General features: G+C 42.4%; 1 protein-coding gene and 1 long non-coding RNA gene across 2 annotated transcripts in view, besides 6 other annotated features; one reads left to right on the top strand and one right to left on the bottom strand.

Annotated features, from left to right (window-relative positions):
* Positions 1-14,953, bottom strand: part of IPO9 (importin 9) — a 55,135-nt gene extending 40,182 nt beyond the window's left edge. Inside the window, exon 1 of the mRNA NM_018085.5 lies at positions 14,738-14,953. Within this exon, the coding sequence (NP_060555.2) occupies positions 14,738-14,900 (163 nt within the window). The 5' untranslated portion in view covers positions 14,901-14,953. The remainder of the gene's footprint in view (positions 1-14,737) is intronic.
* Positions 4,715-5,009: an enhancer, noted in NCBI's record as "tiled region #12270; HepG2 Activating non-DNase unmatched - State 15:Elon, and K562 Activating DNase matched - State 5:Enh". NCBI's record gives its function as "activates a minimal TATA promoter and a strong SV40 promoter by Sharpr-MPRA in HepG2 and K562 cells {active_cell/tissue: HepG2 | K562}" and the evidence as "EXISTENCE:reporter gene assay evidence [ECO:0000049][PMID:27701403]".
* IPO9-AS1 (IPO9 antisense RNA 1) overlaps positions 14,551-16,840 on the top strand; it is a 141,304-nt gene continuing 139,014 nt past the window's right edge. Inside the window, exon 1 of the long non-coding RNA NR_046696.1 lies at positions 14,551-15,159. This is a non-coding gene — a long non-coding RNA (IPO9 antisense RNA 1). The remainder of the gene's footprint in view (positions 15,160-16,840) is intronic.
* Positions 14,654-14,863: an enhancer, noted in NCBI's record as "active region_2322". NCBI's record gives its function as "activates an Ori minimal core promoter by ATAC-STARR-seq in GM12878 lymphoblastoid cells {active_cell/tissue: GM12878}" and the evidence as "EXISTENCE:reporter gene assay evidence [ECO:0000049][PMID:35858748]".
* Positions 14,875-15,169: an enhancer, noted in NCBI's record as "tiled region #13839; HepG2 Activating DNase unmatched - State 1:Tss, and K562 Activating DNase unmatched - State 1:Tss". NCBI's record gives its function as "activates a minimal TATA promoter and a strong SV40 promoter by Sharpr-MPRA in HepG2 and K562 cells {active_cell/tissue: HepG2 | K562}" and the evidence as "EXISTENCE:reporter gene assay evidence [ECO:0000049][PMID:27701403]".
* Positions 14,914-15,153: a silencer, noted in NCBI's record as "silent region_1695". NCBI's record gives its function as "represses an Ori minimal core promoter by ATAC-STARR-seq in GM12878 lymphoblastoid cells {active_cell/tissue: GM12878}" and the evidence as "EXISTENCE:reporter gene assay evidence [ECO:0000049][PMID:35858748]".
* Positions 15,326-15,839: an enhancer, noted in NCBI's record as "H3K4me1 hESC enhancer chr1:201797399-201797912 (GRCh37/hg19 assembly coordinates)". NCBI's record gives its function as "activates a minimal SCP1, AML or CMV promoter by ChIP-STARR-seq in primed H9 embryonic stem cells {active_cell/tissue: H9 hESC(primed)}" and the evidence as "EXISTENCE:reporter gene assay evidence [ECO:0000049][PMID:30033119]".
* Positions 15,840-16,354: an enhancer, noted in NCBI's record as "H3K4me1 hESC enhancer chr1:201796884-201797398 (GRCh37/hg19 assembly coordinates)". NCBI's record gives its function as "activates a minimal SCP1, AML or CMV promoter by ChIP-STARR-seq in primed H9 embryonic stem cells {active_cell/tissue: H9 hESC(primed)}" and the evidence as "EXISTENCE:reporter gene assay evidence [ECO:0000049][PMID:30033119]".

Here is a 16,840-nt window from a genome sequence, read left to right as displayed (position 1 = left end):
TTTGCTATTATCCTGTTTCTTTTCAAAGTCTCACCCACTGATTTTAGCATCCATCTGTGGGTGTTACCTGCCTAATGGTGATTTTGCATTTCTTTTATTCTCTTCACTTTATTAATTGGAATTCTTTTATAAGGAAGTACTGTCCCTTCTCCTTTATTTATTACAATATTATAAAATATATATTTTGGTTTTCATCCATGATTCCTGGTTCTCAGCTCCTGTAAGCCTTATTCTTTCCTAACTGACTACAGTAATAAGAATATCTTTTTTTTTTTTTTTTTTGAGACAGAATCGCACTCTGTCACCCAGACTAGAGTGCAGTGGCGCTATCTCAGTTCACTGCAACCTCTGTCTCCTGGGTTCAAGCGATTCTTGTGCCTCAGCCTCTGGAATAGCTGGAATTGCAGGAGTGTACCACCACGCCCAGCTAATTTTTGTATTTTTCGTAGAGACTGGGTTTTGCCATGTTGGCCAGGCTGGTCTTGAACTCTTGACCTCAAGTCTGCCTGCCTCAGCCTCCCAAAGTGCTGGGATTACAGGTGTGGGCCACCACACCCGACCAAGAATATATTTTCTTAAAAAGTATTTGGCTTTTGTCCTTGGTTCCTGAAGTAGCTCCTGAAGGATAAAGGTGAAAGACAGTCTCTTCTTACTTACAAGATACTTCTTTCTGTCTTTTTTCCCGCACATCACCTCAACTTTCCTTTTCTTTTTTTTTCCCCCATTCCCCTACCTGATGCAATGGTCTTAGGACCAGGGCTGCAACTACATGTGCTGGAAGCAGGAATGATTCCTAGGCAAGAAATTCTAACTACGTATTGTAACTTAGGTCAGAATTCCTAATGGACTGATGGGAATGGGTTGTGCCTTCACCCCATCCAGCAAAATTGGGGCTAACAGTTAATACAGCTATATTGCCTGACAGTAAAAATAGCCCACTAGTTCTGCACCTCTGTAACCTAACCCTATCTGAAGGGGGTGCACTGAGGAAGAGGTACTTGCTAGACTAGTATTGTTGCCTGCAATCTAGACCATCACAGTGGCTGATTGTAATGCTCCTTCCAAAGGTGGAAAAGTTTGGGTACTTATTAAGAGAGAAGAAACAGTAGCTCAGAGGAAAGAAATGAATAAGTGGATTATGAACTGAGAGGATTCCAATATCACATTAACACCTCAAAAGAGGCTCAGAGCAAGAGATGACATTGCTTCTTAGCTCAATTATATCAAACTCATGAAATGGTAAAGTTCTGTGTTTGCTAAGACTACTTCTGCTTTTGCAACCTCACAAGAATGAAAGGAAGCCTGCCAATCTGAGCAGCCTCACCCTGGGAGACACTCATACAATATGATGAACTAGACTATTAATTATTGAATGGGATTCTAGTAATGTGGCAGTATCTTTTGAGTTGGACATCCTATTGACATAAGGGATCAGGGTTCGAAGACCCAAGGGCGGACTGTGATATTGTGAAATATGTATTTGGTCTTCTACTTCATTTCCTGGCAAACAGCTCCTAAAATCCTCAGAAACTCCAAAGTGATGTCTTTTTGTATGCTAATAAGCTGACTTGATAGCTGGCAGCTCCTAGGTAGCTTCAGGATGGGGGCTGGTCACTGGAAATATCTAGGCAGGCTTAGAGGGTTGGGACTTTCATCCCCCCATCCCACCCTCTGACAGGGTAGAGGGGCTGAAGGTTAAGTTGATCATCAATGGTCAGTGGTTCAATCAATCATGGTAGGGTAATGAAACCTCCATAAAAATGCCAAAGAACACACTTCTGCATTCCACCCTTCCAGACCTCATCCTATGTATCTCTTCACCTGGCTGTTCATTTGTATCGTTTCGAATATCCTTTGTAGAAAAATCTGTAAAAGCATTTCCCTAAGTTCTGTGAGCTGCTCTAGCAAATTAATCAAACCCAAAGAGGGGAGTCCTGGGAACCCCAACTTGAAGCTGGTCTGTTAGAAGTTCCAGAGGCCTAGACTTGCAACTGGTATCCAAGCAGGTGGGGGCAGTTTTGGGGACTGAGCTTTCAATCTGTAGGATCTGATGCTATCTCCAGGTAGACAGGTTGGAATTGAATTGGAGGACACCCAGCTGGTGTCCACTACAGAACTGACTGCTTGTTTGCTGGTGGGGAGAAATCTCCACATATTTTTGAGATCACAGAAGTCTTCTGTGTTGACTGTTGTAGTGTGAGAGCAGAGGAAAAATGGTTTGTTTTTCCTAATATTTATTTATACCTATATGAACTCATAAGTATTTATTTTATTCTGTGAGTTTTAATCCAATACTATCTTATTTTTTTTGTTGCTCAAATTGTTCCAGCTTTGGCCACTGGAACTCCTTCCAATTAACTCCTGTGTACTTCTATACATCCCCATTCTTTATCAAGCACTTCCTTATTTTTTGAATACACAAGATATTCTATACTTATCTTGTATTTTCTCTGTCCAAGCCAAGATATCAACTTCTCCTCCAAGGAACCCTGCTGTCTTTTAGTGGAGAATTATATTTAGAAACCAAGATGTGAGCACTAGGTATGTTCATTGCTACAGGAGTATCACTATTCCTAGGCGTTCTCAGAGAACAGAGCTAGGAAGTACAGTATACCTAACCATATAGCCATCCATCCATTTATCATACTGACTGATAGCCCAGATGCCAATCCAAACCTCGAGGTTCATTCTACTCTTCCCTTATTTGTAACTTCTTTCTCTAACAGTGATACACTTGGCTCTCATCATCTATACTTATTTTTTCAATCTTAAAATATAAAGCAATTACAGAAGTATTAATCCATACCTTTGTGAAAAACACACCTATTAATTGAACTACAATTTTGGTGTATAGTTTTTTTAACTGTAACCTACATGATGCAGTCAAATACTATTTTACTATTTGTAAATACTATTTTACAAAGTTACTTAGGTTAGTTCTTCCTCTCACCTAAAAAGTTATGTTATTCATTTGTAAAACATTTAGGTTCATTTGTTACTACTTCTGCTCCATTTTTAGTGCCTCCCTATTGTTTGATTTTAATTTTAATTATTTATTTATTTTTGGTATGTGAAACATTACCATGATTCTCAGAGTCAAAGCTATACAAAAAGGAATATTCCAAGAAGTGCCACTTCTTCCTCAACCCTATTACCTTGTTTTCATTACCCACTTCTTTACAACTATTCCCCACCCACTACATGCAGGCAGGTAACCAAAATCAGTTTCTGATTTTCTTTCCTGTATTTCTTTTACACAAATGAGCAGACACATTTTTTTAAATATTCCCTTCTTGTTTACATGAAAAAGAGTATATTACAGACACTCTTTTGCACTTTGCTTTTTTTCAGCTAACATTATATCTTGGGATTTCCAAATCAGTTCAAAGAGATTCCTGAAGTTCTTCTCTACAGCTGCATAATATATGTAGATATACCATATGTTATTCGTGTGCTCTCCTCTGTATGGACAGTTAGTTTTTTTCTAATATTTTGTTTTAATAAAAATGCTGCAGTGAATAATATTGTGAATATGTATTTTTGAAATGTTGAAGATGTCTTCAGCATAGATTTTCAGAAGTGGGATTGTGGGTCAAGAGGTAAGTGCATTTGTGGAGCTACTGGGTGTGATCAAATTTTCCTTCAGAAGGATTGCACCAATTTGTACTCCTACCAGCAATACATAGGAGCATCTTTCCAGTCTTGCCAACAGAATGTGTTATCATATTTAAAATTTTTTGGCCAGGTGTGGTGGCTCACACCTACAACCCCAGCACTTTGGGAGGCTAAGGCAAGCAGATCACTTGAGCCCAGGAATTCAAGGCCAGCTTGGGCAACATGGTGAAACACCAAAATAGCTGGGCACGGTGGCTCATGCCTGTAGCCTCGGCTACTTGGGAGGCTGAGGTGGGAGGGTCACCTGAGCCCAGGAGGTTGAGGCTATAGTGAGGAGGGACTGTGCCACTGCACTCCAGCCTGGGCGACAGAGTGACACGCTGTCTCAAAAGTAAATAAAATAAATTTTTTTGTCAGCCTGACAGGTGATAAATGGTTAATTCAATGTTGTTTTAGATTATATTTCTCTAACCACAAGTGAGTTTAAACACTTTTTGTATGTCTGAGTGTTGTTTTGGTCCTTTGTTCCTCAATTTTTAAGAATTCTTTATATATTAAAGGTATTATCCTTTTGTCTGTAGTATACATTGTGGGGAAAAAAATTCCTCCCAGTTTGCCAGTTGTCTCTTGATTTTTTATGTGGTGTTTTTCCCATGTAAATTGTAAAAAAATTTTATGTAGTCAAATTTATCAATAAAATATTTTCTTTTATTGTCTCTGGATCTTGAGTCATATTTAGAATCCCTTTCCCTATGTCAAGTTTAAAGACAAAATCACCCATGTTTTCCTCTAGTACTTGTATGATTTAATTTTTTCTGTTTAGACTCCTAATCATTTTAGAGTTTATTTTTAAAAAATCTAGTGTGAGATATGGGTCTAATTCCAAATGGCTACACAGTCATAGCAGCACTTTTTTTTTTTTTTTTTTTTTTTTGAGATGGAGTCTTGCTCTGTCGCCCAGGCTGGAGTGCAGTGTCATGATCTCGGATCACTGCAAGCTCCGCCTCCCAGGTTCCCGCCATTCTCCTGCCTCAGCCTCCCGAGTAGTTGGGACTACAGGCACCAGCCTGGGCAACATGGTGAAACCCCGTCTCTACGAAAAATACAAAAATCAGCTGGGCGTGGTGGTGCGTGACTGAAGTCCCAGCTACTTGGGAGGCTGAGGCACGAGAATCACTTGGGCCTGGGAGGCAGATGTTGCAGTGAGCTGAGACTGAGCCACTGCACTCCAGCCTGGGTGACACAGCAAAATCTTGTCTCAAAAAGTTTCCTCTAGGCTGGGCGCAGTGGCTCACGCCTGTAATCCCAACACTTTGGGAGGACAAGGCAGGTGGATCACCTGAGGTTAGGAGTTCGAGACCAGCTTGGCCAACATGGTGAAACCCCATCTCTACTAAAAATACAAAAATTAGCCGGGCGTGGTGGCGGGCGCCTGTAGTCCCAGCTACTTGGGAGGCTGAGGCAGGAGAATCGCTTGAATCCAGGAGGCGGAGGTTGCAGTGAGCCAAGATCATGCCACTGCACTCCAGCCTGGGTGACACAGCAAGGCTCCATCTCAAAAAAAAAAAAAAAAGTTTCCTCTAATAGGTTCTTACACATTTCCTAAGCATTTACTTTTTTGTTGATACTGTAAATTGGTTTTGGTTTTTAAAAAACCATTACGTCCTCTAACCTTTTATGGTTTGTGTATGTGAAAGCTATTGATTTTTATATTTTATGTCCTGTTTTACTGAATTCTTAGATTCTTAATTCATTCTTATTATGCCTTTAAGCTGCAGTTTTTGATCCACTCCTATGGCACCTATTGTTTCACTCAGGAAAGTGGATTTTTTTTTTTGGCATGACCGCCACAGAAGAAGCCACATTCTTTCTGAAAGAGTTATTAAATGATTAAATCACAAGCAAACACTTGAAACTTGCACAATCCCCCTACAGATACTGCAATCCATTCTAATTCTTAGGATTAATTTGGTTAGTACAGACTCTGGTTAAATCTATAAAACCCATTTGTAGCAAGAGAAGAAACAACAGGTATCTACAACCCGAAGATATGGGAGTCAACTATCAGAACTGATTCTAAAACACAGATGAGTCAGATAATTCAGGAACATCTCTTGGATAGCAATGTTCCAGTTCAATGGAAAAAAGCACTCTAAAATGCACATGTGAAATCCATTTAAAGGAGAAAGACAACTAGTAAGGGCATCCACAATTCCTTTGAGTTCAGATACTTAGTGTGATAATGGATGATACTTAGACTTCATGGCTTCAAGTCTGCTTAGAATGTCACTGTCCACCCAGGATTGGCCTCCCTGGACATGGTGAACCAATTCTGGTGTGCCTTATGTAACTTCCTTCACAATAATCTACAAGCACATTCACAAATTATCTGGGACATAACAGCATTTCCTTTTTTTTTCTTTTGAGACAGAGTTGCACTCTTGTTGCCCAGACTGGAGTGCAATGGCGCAATCTCAGCTCACCGCAACCTCCACCTCCCGGGTTCAAGCGATCCTCCTGCCTCAGCCTCCCGAGTGGCTGGGATTACAGGCATGTGCCACCACGCCCAGCTAATTTTGTAGTTTGAGTAGAAATGTGGTTTCTCCATGTTGGTCAGGCTGGTCTCAAACTCCCAACCTCAAGTGATCCGCCCGCCTCAGCCTCCCAAAGTGCTGGGATTACAGGCATGAGCCCCCGTGCCTGGCCTAGTATTTTCTTTTAAGGCATGATTTAAATAATTTTTCCATAGGTCATTATGATTTGGACTTTTAATGTTCCTAGCAAGAGCATAATTTTTGGATCATTACTACAGGGACAAACTAAAACAAGATCAAAATGAAGAAATTCTTCAATATACAGTGTGAAAAGATACTGAGGAATGAGACTTTTTGAGAAGGGTTTGAAACTTAAGACTTTAAGCTTAAACAAATCTGAACAACTGTCCTTCCAATGAAAGCACTGATATTCATATAGCTGTAGGGTAATACTGAGGCTCACAGCTCACAAAAGGGAAAAAGAACCACACATTTTCCATCAGTTCACTCTGGCACTGATCACAGGAGTCATTAGAGCATGAAGACCAGGCAAACTTTACACATAGGTCCTATCACAGCTTAAGGGTCCTTTCTCATCAACCAGAGAATTCCAAGTCTTTTCTCTTCAGAGAAAAGCTTAGCATGAATATATTTTTTCCATATCCCTGCCAGAAGGATGCACTCCAGTGATGATCACAGTAGCTAGAAGCTCTTCACTCTAATACAGTAATAAGTTAATCATGTCTGGTAACCTATCAAAGATCATATACAAAATTCCACTAACCACCTTGCTTCACACATCACTGAGACTGGAAGGGATGGTGAGAATAAGAGATCATCAGAAGATTAAGACCAACGTAGGGGCCAAAAACCCAAGTTAGCCAAGGGATCTGTACCTACAACAAGTATTTTAAGATGGACTCCTTCTAAAAGCTAATTTCTTTCACGCATGAAAGAAGCAGCATTAAAGTTCAAGTAACATATATTTGCTCAAAAGCAGATATATAATGGCAAAGAAAATCTTCAAATAACATCATCATTGTTAACTAAAGACAAATTTTAAAATAAAATAGATGAACAGATTTCCTTCTCTACAGACCCCTACAGTTTCAAAAATTATGACCACATGTCCAACATGACCACATGTTTCAAAGCCTCAAAAATTCAAAGACAAAGAGCTTATTTGCATTAGGTTATAGGGGGATGAAAGAGGGAAAATACAAAATTCTTTTACTTAACCCAATTTATTCTGTCTAGACCACATACCTACTAGAAATACAAGGATATCACTCACCATTTAAGAGTGTCATACCCATAATACTTTAGTTTACTTAAAAGCTATATAAATAATTGTTTCCAAGGAGTATGATGTTGATGGTAAACTCCGTGCTATAAAACCGATGCAAAATTAGCTGGGTGTGGTGATGCACACCTGTAGTCCCAGCTACTAAGGAGGCTAACATGGAAGGATCACTTGAGCCCAGGAGTTTGAGGCTGCAGTGAGCTATGATCACACCACTGCACTCCAGCCTGGATGACAGAGCAAGACCTTGTCTCAATTAAAAAACAAACTAAGAAACAAACTAATGCAAAGAAGGAAAAGCCAGAAAATAATTCTAAAGCTCTTGGCCTTATTTTAAATCTGATCAACACATTTGCTCCTATCCATTGGTTTCTGTTACGTAGTAAAACCCTACTTACAGATTTTTCACTTAACAGAGATACAATATTTTTTGAAATACAACTAAGTATATTTGTTAAAAAAAAAGTACGTGTGTGTGTGTTGGGGGACTTCTGGTTTTACTGATTGGTGTCTGTTTTTTTTTTTTTTTTTTTTTTTTGAGATGGAGTCTTGCTCTGTCACCCAGGCTGGAGGGCTGGAGTGCAGTGGTGTGATCTTGGCTCACTGCAAGCTCTGCCTCCCGGGTTCAGGCCATTCTCCTACCTCAGCCTCCAGAATAGCTGGGACTACAGGCGCCCGCCACCACGCCTGGCTAATTTTTTTGTATTTTTAGTAGAGATGGGGTTTCACCATGTTAGCCAGGATGGTCTTGATCTCCTGACCTTGTGATCCGCCCTCCTCGGCCTCCCAAAGTGCTGGGATTACAGGAGTGAGCCACACTGTGCCCGGCCTGGTGTCTTTAACACAATGTCTTTAAAAATATGAGAAAGAATAGCCTAATAACTTACTCTGGGATGATGAAGGCAGGGAAAATATAAGAAACACAGACATAAATATCCGCTTTATTTTGCTTTGCTTGGAAACGACTGTTTAAGATTAAACTAACATTCAATCTATGAAGTTGAGCCAAAGGGCAACACTGCCAAGAGGGCTATATGAAGTTGTTTTCTAAAGCTATTTTTGTTAGGAAATTTAATTTCTCTAGTTCCCTTTCCCATGGTGAAATAAGGACAGTTCATTCTGTTAATCTGGGTTTTCACCCTGACTCTAGATTCTCCTTAATTATACCTTTATTCCTATCCAAAATGGCATCCTTTGACTTCCTAAGAAATCCTCTGCCCTCTTTCATTCTCTAGTCTCATTCTCTTTTAGTCTTTTGCTTCCCTCTCGTTATCCTTGCTCCCCTTTCTCTCTTATCACCCCATATGGCAAAAACATTATCTATCTAAAACTTGGTTTAGAAGGGAAAACCCAAAGGAGAGCATGGAGGATAAAGGATCACTTAAGAAATACATGCTATTGGTCTGAAGGGTCTCCTAGAGAGACAAGACTTGGCAGTACTTTGACAGTCAACTAATAAGAATTGTGAACAGGGATTGTTGGAGAAGGATGCGGTTTTGAGTAGACCCCCTGGACAAGCCCCCTATTTCTCATGGGAGTTGGTAAGCACCACAAAACCACAGCTGAAAGGAAAAAGAAAACTCCACCACTGGCCTTTTTCCGAGCGTGGCCGCCTTCCGCTCGGCTCAGTGCCCGCCACATGCCCAGGAGTGCGTCTGGATCCTTGAGGGGCGCCCTTCGCAGGTGGACAGTGCTTACGCTATACTGCAAAAGAGCCAGAAAAGTGCCCATGAGAACCAGAAAGCAAACTTCCAGCCAGCAGGATCATCTCTCTAGGCATCTAAGATGGGGAAATCAATACAGGTATCTCGGCAGCATCTGAATGCCAGGAAAGGTGAGGGAGAGATAATTTCCCCCCTCCCCTGTTCAACATAATGGTGGTAGAAGGGAAGAAAAATGTATTCTCTGTGACTTATCTACTGGGAACTAGACAAGGCCAAATGATAGGGGAAATGTCATCATTTGTAATAGGCAAAAAAGAAATAAGCAAAGAAGAAAATGTCCTAGGGTCTAAATCTAGTTATGTAAGAAAGTCTGTGCATGCTGGCACGAAGAATTAAAGCTTCTGAATGAAAGCAACCCATTCCACCACTTGGATAATGCCATTCTTAGAGGAAAAGTAGAGAAAGAAGTAGAAAAAGAGGGAAAGAACTTCATTTTAAGATATAAAAAAATAAAGCACGAATACACCAAAAATAAAAGGCTGACATTCTCAAAAGATGGTAATTCTCATGATCTCACCGTAAGTCAGACAAAAACAAAAGAAAAAGAGTTGATGAAGCTGAGTACAGAATATGAGACTTTGACGTAAGAGATCTTCGGTGGTTCATAACCTCTCCAGTCTTTTTAACTACTATGTTTGTAAAGTGCTTAATATGAACCTGCCTATTAAACAAAACAGAATTAGAAAGCATGCTTTAGACTCTTAGCAGTGCAACAAAAAAAAAAAAGAAAAGAAAAGTTTTTTTACTCTAACGAATAAAAAAACTTAAAAAAAATTTTTTTTACCCTATTTAGGTAGAAGTAAATTTCCTACAAACCTGATCAAACTCAAAATCTCAATCCTCCTAAGAAAAATGAAAGGGGCCAGGTGTGGTTGCTCATGCCTATAATCTCAGCACTTTAGGAGGATCACTTGAGGGCAGGAGTTCAAGGCCAGCCTGGTCAACACAGCAAGACCCCATCTCCAGAAAAAAACTAAAAAAATCAGCCAAGTATGGGCATGTGCTTGTAGTCACAGCCACTTGGGAGGCTGAGGTTGGGAGGACTGCGTAAGCCCAGGAGTTAGAAGCTGCAGTAAGCTATGATCACACCACTGCACTCTAGCCTGGGTGACAGAGCAAAACTCTGTATCTTAAAAAAAAGAAAGAAAGAAAAATGAAAGGTTAACAATTATCTGCAGAATACTGTACACCATAATAACTTCCAAACTTTCAAGCAATGTTCTTCTCAATTCAGGATGGGAGTGCTATCTGATGAAGGTGGTTACTGGCATCATCTCCTTATCTAATTAGCCCTGTTAAATAGACTTTAAATATTCAGAGAGGTTTGCTGGGTTTCTTCCAGATTCCAAGTGACTAGCAAAAATAGCAAGCACAGGGGCTCAAGAAAATCATTCCAGCCAGGCGCAGTGGCTCACGCCTGTAATCCTAGCACTTTGGGAGGGCAAGGTGGGTGGATCACCTGAGGTCAGGAGTTCGAGACCAGCCTGGCTAACATGGTGAAACTCCATCTCTACTAAAAATACAAAAATTAGCCTGGCGTGTTGGTACGCGCCTGTAATCCCAGCTACTTGGGAGGCCTAGGCATGAGAATCACTTGAATCTAGGAGGCGGATGTTGCAGTGAGCCGAGATCATGCCAATGCACTCCAGCCTGGGTGACAGAGCGAGACTCTGTCTCAAAAAATAAAATTAAAAAAAAAAAAAAAATCATTCCAGGACACCAGGCTGATGAAGTAACCTATCTTATCCTTTTCAGATTGACACGCTACATGAATCAAATGGATCTCTCACATACACACACTTCCTTGGCTTAAGAGAACAGGTGCCCATTCTGGAAAATGTGATAATTAATTATAGGCAATTTATTTATTTATCAGAAAATATCAGCTGGTACACTAAATGATCAGGACTACTCTAGGCTCCAGCAATCTTTATTTTCTAAGATAACTGCTTCTTAAAATCTCATCTATAGTACAATTTGGTCACAGCATGTCAACTTCTCTTGCCTGTCCTTTTAACAGGGAGTTGACAATTGACCTGTGTCCTTTCCCCATAAATTAGATATTCTTCCATTTAATCTTCAAGACAAGGGATCATCACCTGGTAGCCAAGGAAGGTAACAAATGTTTTTGGCAAAGGGAACGGACCAGTTAATCTTAAAGACCATGTGGGATCAGTCTCCTATGTGATGGACTAATAAACAGCTCACAAAGACAGTGTGGTTATTTGAGAGGACAGAGGGAGGACTAGATCTGGTTGTCACCTGATCCTGGGCCCCATGGAACCAAAAAATGATCAAAAGATTACCAGAACACAAATAATAATAGACACCAAATCCCAGATTTCTCATTAACTTCAAGTTTTAAGAGTGTTTCCGGCCTGGCCGGTTGGCTCATGCCTGTAATCTCAGCATTTTGGGAGGCTGAGGTGGGCAGACTGCTTGAGCTCAGGAGTTCAAGATCAGCCTGGGCAACATGGCTAAACTCCGCCTCTGCTAAAAATACAAAAATTAGCCAGGCATGGTGGTGCATGCCTGTAATCCCAACTACTTGGGAGGCTGAGGCACGAGAATTGCTTGAACCTGGGAGGTGGAGGTTGCAGTGAGCTGAGATCATGCCACTGCACTCCAGCCTGGGCCCTGGACCACAGAGTGAGACTCGGTCTCAAAAAAAAAAAAAGTGTTTCCTAGAATCAGAAAACAAGGTTCCTTCTACCAGGGTAAAACTAAAATGTGGGCTGGGTGCAGTGGCTCACGGCTGTAATCCCAGCACTTTGGGAGGCCGAGGCGGGTGGATCACCTGAGGTCAGGAGTTCGAGACAACCTGGCCAACATGGTGAAACCTCGTCTCTACTAAAAATACAAAAATTAGCCAGGCATGGTGGCAGGTGCCTGTAATCCCAGCTACTCGGGAGGCTGAGGCAGGAGAATTGCTTGAACCCAGGAGGCGGAGGTTGCAGTGAGCCGAGATCGCACCACTGCACTCCAGCCTGGGCGACAGACTGAGACTCTGTCTCAAAACAACAACAACAACAACAACAACAACAACAAAAGCAAAAAACACTAAAATGTGAAGCAACACCAAAGAAGTGGAAAGTAGTTTGCAAGAATGGCTCATCTTGCTCTGTAGGGCATTCTAATAGGAGGAACCATGTCCTGCCAGTTTCATCAGGCCAGATAGTTGGCTAAATCCCGGCTGGAAAGCTGGGTTCTATGTTTTCATGTAAAGAAGGGTTGAGGCTGGTAAAGAAGCAGCTACTATATTGCACCATGTTCAGAAAACATCTGAGAGATTCAGACAGAGTTTAAGGTGGGAGGTACTCTGAACCCAATGTCAAAGATAACTTGTTAAAGGCCACAAGAGGAAGAAAGCAGACCGCATCTGAGGGAATGGACCGCCATTCTCCACCTTAAAACAGGTACAGAAGGGGGTAAATCTCTATAGTTTTTTTGATAGACATTAAGGAGCCAGACTACTTAAAAGACACAAGCAGCCTCCAAAGGGTCCGAAGCATTGCACTAAACTCCAGAGACTGATCCAACCCTCTAACCAAATCCAAAACCTGAGTCATATGCTCTATTACTAGATCACCAATATCAGGTCACTGCATCGATGCCTTTCCATACTTTTCATTCTCATAGTCTGCCCAACAGCACATTACCAGTAAGTTATGGGGGTCGGGGGGCAGTCGATCTATTTCTCATCAGTGACTTAGATCAAAATTCTGTACTTCTGAAATTTAATTTTTCACTTAAAGGCTCAAAAAGATGCCAGGTGTGGTGGCTGAGGCCTGTAATCCCAGCACTTTGGGAGGCCTAGGTGGGAGGATCGCTTGAGTCCAAAAGTTTGAGGCTGCAGTGAGCCATGATGGCATCACTGCTCCAAAGTCTACACGATAGAGCGAGACCCAGTCTCAAGAAAAAAAAGATGAATAAAGTGAGGAATCAGAGTTTCAAAAAAGACCTCGAGAACTTTATAATTGACTTTGCCCAGATGAGACCATGGCATTTGGCTAAAGTTGAAAAGATCAGAGCAAAAGTGGAGTTGTTGTAAGACAGTTTAAATACAAGTCAAGGTCCACCTTTCATACAAAGGTGCCAGACATGCATTTGGAGCACCAGGAGCACTGGGTACCACTCAGGGAAGGTTTAGTTAAGATGAATTTGCACCAGACTCTCAAGTTTTATTCAGGTGACAACTTGAATGTGATGAGGTTCCTTTGCTTTGTCACTCTTCCTTCCTCATACTCAAGGGGGACAGACATTAATGTGCATAAACGAATTTTATTTAGAAGCCGCTAAAAATTCCTTTAGATTAGTTTATACATGGTTCTCAAACAGCTTTCTCCTAACCAGTGGTTTCTCCTGTATAGATCTGATATTTTATAAAACAATGACAATTACAAGTGGGCCTTCAAAATGGTCCTTAGCCTGTTAGATCCCAAATCTTAACATATTTCCAACAGAAGAAAATTTGTTTTCAACAGCTCTTTCATACTGTGAAAGAATGTAAACTAAATTTAAGAGAGATTTGTTCTAAATTCTTTTCAATAGAAATACGTCCAGTAGGAGAGCTAACTGAAGGTTTTGAATATGATGGGTGTGTGATGGGACAATTTCCCATATCTCTGATGAAGTATTTAAGTGGTGGTGGAAATATTCCTGAGTTGGGAGATTCTGAGGATTTGGAGTTCCAGTGAAGCTCTGACCAGATATATTTCTTACACAAAGACCAAGAAGATTTCTCCTCCTGTTTCTGGATTAAATTGTTCTTTGTGGTAGCTACACTGGACCCGGTGAAAGGCTCACGCGGCAGGAAATTGATAGAAAATCTCGAACCAATGGTTTATTTTCTTCTCCATCACTTTAAAGCACACAATAGAGGACGGAGACAAAGAATCAAAAACAAAGGATGATCAGTTCCTCCAAACAGAAATGCACAAAGGTATTTAATAAGGGCAAATTATTTTTAAAATAAACGTTAAGTATGGTCAGGACAGTGAAGCAATCGCATATGCATTTAATTTCTGGGAAAACACGAAGAGTACAAACAACTAGCTAGGTTTATAACTCAGAGGCAGAAACTTGTTTGATGACATCTATTAAGCTTTGATAGCCGCCTTTTCGAGGCCCTACCCTTCACCACTCCTACTAATAGCTCCCCCTACTCTTATCCCAGTACAATCCAGCTGGTGAAGAGAACAGCGAAAGACTTTGGTCCTGGACTCAAAAAATATTTCCCCGACCGCGCTACTTCCTCCAACAGCACCAAGTCTAGCTCCATCTCCGTCCCCTGCAGATTCTAGGCTCCATCTATCTTTTCAAGTCTCCACCCTCCCTCCCCCACTCCCAGGCTCCACCTCCCCCGACCCTATCCTTCAGGCGCGCCTCTCCTCTCTCGGACTTTCACAACCACCAGCGACATCAATCTCTCGCTTCCTGCTCCACTTCTCGGCGCCCACATCTCCAACTGGCTCAGGCTCCCCATGTCCCCAGCCGGTACGGAGCTGCGGTCAGCGGATTGTGCGGCTGAGCCATCCTCGTGACGGTCCCGCCTCACTCACCCTCCGTCACCTCCAGCACCTTAATCTGTTCTTCAGCAGCCGCCCGCACCTCCTGTACTGGGGATAGGATCCCGGTGAGCGTATCCACTAACGCTTCCTTTAATCCTTGTGCCACTGGACCCGGCAGCCCGGAGGCCGCACCAGCTGCCGCCGCCGCCGCCATCTTTTCTCCCCTCAGCCCGCCAGCCCCGCGGCCGGGACCCGCCACCGAATGACGGCCCCCGCGCGCGGCCAATCCGCGAAGCCGCGCCTGCGCACCAGAGGCGGGCGGGAGCGGGCGGAGGGCGGGGAATGAATCTAAGCCTCCAGAGACAGCGCCTCCTGCTGCCTGAACGAGAACTGCACCTTTCTCTGCAAGGATCTCTGGATTTGTGTGAAAACTGAGCCCCAGACAGGTTAAGGGGCTTTCCTAAAGTTGCACAGTAAGTTAGCAATCTCATTTGGAATAAAGTTCATGATATATGACTTTATATTCATGCATCTTTCAGGTGTTAGGAGAGAGGAGGCGGGATGGGAATAGATGTAGAGGGCTTTAAGGAGAGAGGTCTGGGTCACAAATAGCCCCTATTTTAAACCACATTCTTTTCCCCCCAAACACTGAAAAAAAGTTGGCTCAAGTGACTCTCTTCATCTTAGCCTCAGGAATCCAAAGAGGGGGGAAAATAAACTAAAGCAAACTGGGAAGTGGAAGTGGGAAAACCACGGCCCAGTCCCTTGGTTTTCCAGCCTAGATGAGCCCAACCTCAAAGCTGGGAAGTGGCTGGGCAGGGGAGACACCGGCATGTGAAAGGGAGTTTCTTCCAGAGTGAGTGTTGTATGTGACTATTTGAGAATGAATCCTATTTGTTGAAAATGTATAAATTTTTTTCCCTGAGAAATTATGGCTGGACATTTAAGGGGTGCGAGAACAAGAGCAGTTTGATGATATGGTTGTCAGCAGCTGGTCGTGGGAAATGGCCTACGGTGCAGAGCCGCTCCTGAATAGCGGAGCAGGTGGAGAGGATGAGCGCTCCAGTGAGGTGTTAAAAATGCAGGGTGTGGCGAGGCGCAGTGGCTCACGCCTCTAATCCTAGCACTTTGGGAGGCCGAGGCAGGAGGATCGCTTGAGCCCAGGATTTCGAGAACAGCCTGGGCAACATAGCGAGACTTCGTCTCTACAAAAAAATACAAAAATTGCCCAGGCGTGGTGGCGTACGCCCTGTAGTCCCGGCTGTTCGGGAGGTGGAGGTGGGAAGATCACTTGAGCCCAGGAGGAGGAGGCTGCAGTGAGCAGTGATTGCGCCATTGCACTCCAGCCTGGGCGACAGAGTGACATCTTGTCTCAGAAAAAGAAGAAAAAGCAAGATGTAAGCCAAGGCAGGAGGATCACTTGAGCCCAGGAGTTCCAGGCTGTAGTGTGCTGTCATCACACCTATGAATAGCTACTGCATTCCAGTCTGGGCAAGATATACAGACTCTGTCTATAAAAAAAAATAAAAATTAAAAAAAATGCAGGGCAGAGTGGCAAGCATGTAGTGGCAGAAAGGATAGAATGTTGTTGGAATGGGAGGTTCTAGAGCAAACAGAAACAGGTATTTTTTAGTGAGCTGTTCAGGTTATGTGCCTTCAAAATGGTTCCCAGGAACCCTTATCAAGTGAGTTCATTCTCACATGGCAAAGGAAACGAGTTACCAAATCCTAGGTCACTTCCAAGACTGTGGATGCTGGACTGGTAACAATCAGGGATTAAGTCATCTCATCAGAAGATTACTTCAAAAGAAAGCTTTCTCAATTATTTATTTTTGAGTTGGGGGGGTCTTGCTATGTTGCCCAGGCTGGACAGGTGATCCTCCCACCTCAGCATCCAGAGTAGCTAGAACTACAGGTACACCCACTGCAACTGGCTTGAAGAGAGTTCTCAACACACTTGTCACCTCCCATGTTAAGAGGGCAGAGATGAGTTATGTTACTACAATTTCATAGGGAAAAGATTGCTTCTTGGACCCTTCAATTTTGCAATGGGGAATAGTAAGCCTATTTACTTTCTTGAAGTGGCCAAAAGAAGTTGAACTTGATTACAACAGCTTCTAATAGGTCAGTTCACTTTTACCCCAAGAAGAAAAT

The sequence above is a fragment of the Homo sapiens genome, chromosome 1 (genome assembly GCF_000001405.40).
Source record: "Homo sapiens chromosome 1, GRCh38.p14 Primary Assembly".
NCBI lineage: Eukaryota > Metazoa > Chordata > Mammalia > Primates > Hominidae > Homo > Homo sapiens.
Note: the sequence above shows the minus strand (reverse complement) of the source record. Positions and strands in the feature narration are given on the sequence as shown.